The sequence below is a fragment of the Homo sapiens genome, chromosome 3, assembly GCF_000001405.40.
Source record: "Homo sapiens chromosome 3, GRCh38.p14 Primary Assembly".
NCBI classification, from domain to species: Eukaryota; Metazoa; Chordata; class Mammalia; order Primates; family Hominidae; genus Homo; species Homo sapiens.
Genome location: NC_000003.12, coordinates 42,339,437 through 42,343,001, shown reverse-complemented (window position 1 = coordinate 42,343,001; position 3,565 = coordinate 42,339,437). Strand labels below are relative to the sequence as shown.

General features: G+C 43.6%; 1 pseudogene; it reads right to left on the bottom strand.

The window, feature by feature from the left end:
- EIF4BP4 (eukaryotic translation initiation factor 4B pseudogene 4) lies at nt 536-2,411 on the bottom strand (annotated as a pseudogene).

The window sequence follows — 3,565 nt, the reverse complement described above, 5'->3', positions numbered from 1 at the left end:
TTATTGAGGACTTCTAGTATGTTTTAATATTTGGCAGGGCTGGACACAATATTTCCCAGTATTTTTTAAATTTTTGTTTCAGAATTCTCCTGGCCAATTTTGCCTTTTTATTTCTTCATGAGAACTTCATATTCATCTCATCATGTTATTGCGGGGCACAGGGTGGAGATGGGGATTTTTGGTACCTTTATAGGGATCACATTAAATCTTTTAAATAATTTGAGGAGCATTAAAATCTTTATGATTCTGACTTCCTATCTAAGCATACTTTATATTTTCCATTGGTTCAGGTCTACTTTTTGGACTTTCAGGGATTGTTGTAGAGTTTTACACGTAAACATTTACACACTTCTTATTTAATTTATTCAGATATTTTATCTTTCTGATGCTAAAGAGTGGTGGCAATAGTTACTTCCTCACATTGTTCATTTCTCTAGCAGAAATGTCTTCAGTATTTCCAAATTAAATAGGAAGCTTGCCTTTGGGTTGAGACATAGCTATTTTATCAGAACTTGACCCTGATTTTTTCCTCCCCCAGGAGGTGGTGAGTGTTATTTTGTCTTGTCTGGATGTAGGTTTGCTTTGCTCTTGAATGTTCCAGAGTGGAGAGAGACTAGGAGAAAGCACAGGAGGTCTATTTGGTGTAATCTGCTCCTTCCTTTTCATCTTCACCATCAACAGAGACAGCAGCACACTTGCTTGCAGAACTGAACTTGGAGGCTGGATTTTCCTCAGGTTTCTTTGACTCAGGTGCAGATCTGCAGACTTGATCTTTTTTGCCATCTTTCCTGTCTGACTCCCTCCAGCAGTCTTTGTTCCCTCCATCTCCTGGACCACGGCCCGAGTTCCCACTTTGGACTTTTGGACATTCATCCCGTCTACTTTATTTTCATCTTTCTTTGCTGGTCTTTCCTCTGAGGGTTGAACTGGAGGTACTTTTCCCTCACTACCTGTAGGGGGTTGCTGCTCTGTTTCTGAGCTCTGAGATGGAATAAGAGGATTAGAACTTCTCTTCACCTAAGCAGTCTCCTTTGGTGGAGGGGCTCGAATCACCTTTAGGAGTTGATCAGGTTTGGAAGGCTTAGAAATTGGAGACTGGCAGTGTTTCTCTTTATTGAGTGTTTCATTTTCTAGAGACTTCTCACTCTCTCTTCTTCATGTGTCCTGGTCTGACTTGCTTCTGCCTGATGTGGCTGGGGTCGCAGTCTGCACTGGCTCACTTCCCGTCCTCCACCATTCCCGTTCCTGAGTTTCTTCACTTTGCCAGCTTGGATGTCTCTCCAGAGGCCATTGTTCTAGATTTGGCTCATCCAGCTGTCAATATGGTTTCTCTTGTTTCTTCTGTAGCTGTTCTTCTGCTTCTCTTTTTCTAGCAACTGTGTCAATGGACTTTCCCCCTCCAAAGATAGAAGCCACTCAACTGAGCTGAGGGGGTGCTAGAAGAGGGATCATCTTCCTTATGAATGCTCTGAGGCTCTGATCTTTGGGAGGGACCCCTATCATCATGCCTATAATCACCCTAAGAGTAATCATCTCTGGAGTTCCATGACCAATTGTCCTGTCTGTCTTATTGGCCTTCATCCACCTCCTCAGTAGTCATCATCTCTGAGGTACCCACTACCAAATGCTCTTCTGCAACTGCCTGTTGCAGAATCATAGCCTCTATCATAGTCTCTGCTGCCTCAGTCATCATCTTAATCCCGGCCCCCACATTGACCCATATCCTGGTGTGAGCCATCTCTAAACCTGTCCTGACACCCATCATGATACTGGTCTGAATTGCATGATCTTGATACTTGTCTCCAAAGCTATCAACACCTCTTCTAGGCAGGTAGTCATCAAAGCTGTCTGTGGCAGGATGGACCTCCAGTATATCTGTTTTGTCAGTATCCTAATTTCTATCCTGGCCAAGAGGACAGTCATCCCTGTCTTTATCCTGTGCTTGGTCAGCAATGTCCACTCTAATTATCCTGTTACCTACAGACTCTTCATTGAGACCCAGGGTACTGAACAGGGCATCCAGGTCCTCAAACTCAGGATAACTAAAACTTTCAACCTCTCTGGATGCCGGGTTCATGTGGTCAGTGTGCTGTATCAATATTTAATCCTCTAAATAATTCCTTAATTGAGTCTTCTATCACATCATAGAGCAAGTTCCCTAGAAGAGCATTGTAGGATGGTGATTTGGGAAGATGGCTCCAATCAATATGGGGTTCTCCAGCATCCTGTGGAGCAGTGAAAAGAATGGAATGACCAATTGGAGATGTCCTATACACATCTCATCATTAGTGTGCCAAGTGGTTGAAGCATTTCCTTCTGGCTCATCTGTTTCATCAGCCCAGTCTGGGGATATAGGTGCTTCCTCCTCCAGTCTGCCCTTCCTCAGTCAGAAAGTCTATTAGGGAAATTGTCTTTTTCTTCTCCTTCTCCTTCTCCTTCTCCTTCTCCTTCTTCTTCTTCTTCTTCTCCTCCTCCCCCTCTCCCTGCTCCTCCTCCCCCCTCCTCCCCCTTCCCCTCCTCCCCCTCCTCCTCCTCCTCCCCCTCCTCCTACTCCCCCTCCCCCCCTCCTCCTTCTCCTCCTTCTCCTTCTTCTTCTCCTTCTCCTTCTCCTTTTCTGAGGCCACCATGTTGGGAGACGGAAAGAACACCAAGGCTTGATTTTACTTTTAAGGGTTACTTTTAGCAAGGTGGAGATGTAGGAAAATTATATCCCAGGATTGTGTAAAAGAAAGGCACAATTAGAGAATCATAAGACCTTTAATGTGGCTAGACAGTGGATTGCCTGTTAAGGGAGAGACAGGAAACATAGATGGAGATCATTCAGGGGCATCTTACAAAGACCCCACAGGCTATGCCGTTCAACTTGGACTTTCTTTCATTGGTAATAGAAAATCATTGAAAGGTTTTAAGCAAGAGTATGGCATTATTAGATTTATATTTTAGTAAGATTCTGGGGGCAATGGCTGATAAATTCCACTGGCAAAGCATTTCAAACATGTCTGCAAATCAGACCAGATATCATCCAACCAAATAAACCGAGAGGAAGAACAAGAACAATCACAGCCGTATCACTTTTATTTTTCTTAAAAAATGACTTAAAAATTATAGAGTAGGTAGACTAACAGTGAAGACCATATATTTACGTCTCCAAAACCTGGGAGTTCTGCAAGAGATACTGAGCTCCAGATGATTATGCTGGGTCTTTCTCCAACCTCAGCATAAGCCAGGAGTGGGCAAAGCAGGTCTGGGAGAGCTCTGCCTGAAAGTGGACGCCAAGCTCCATGCTAGGGGCCTGGGCACCCTTAAAGCAAGCCACAGAATCACTTTCAGTCAGTGAGGATATGCCTGTCTTCTCTCCTTTTCTGTTTTTCTGAGTGGAGTATTGAAAATAATCAGGCACAAAGCATAGCATAGTGGACAAAGAAAATAATGTTTATGTTCATGAAAAATTCAACCCTAATTATACCTCTGGGAGCCAGTGGGAGTAATGAAATAGTGTGCCTGGGGTGTTCATTTTGTTAATAGATGCCAGTCACAGGGTACTTATTTTCTGTGCCATTTATAA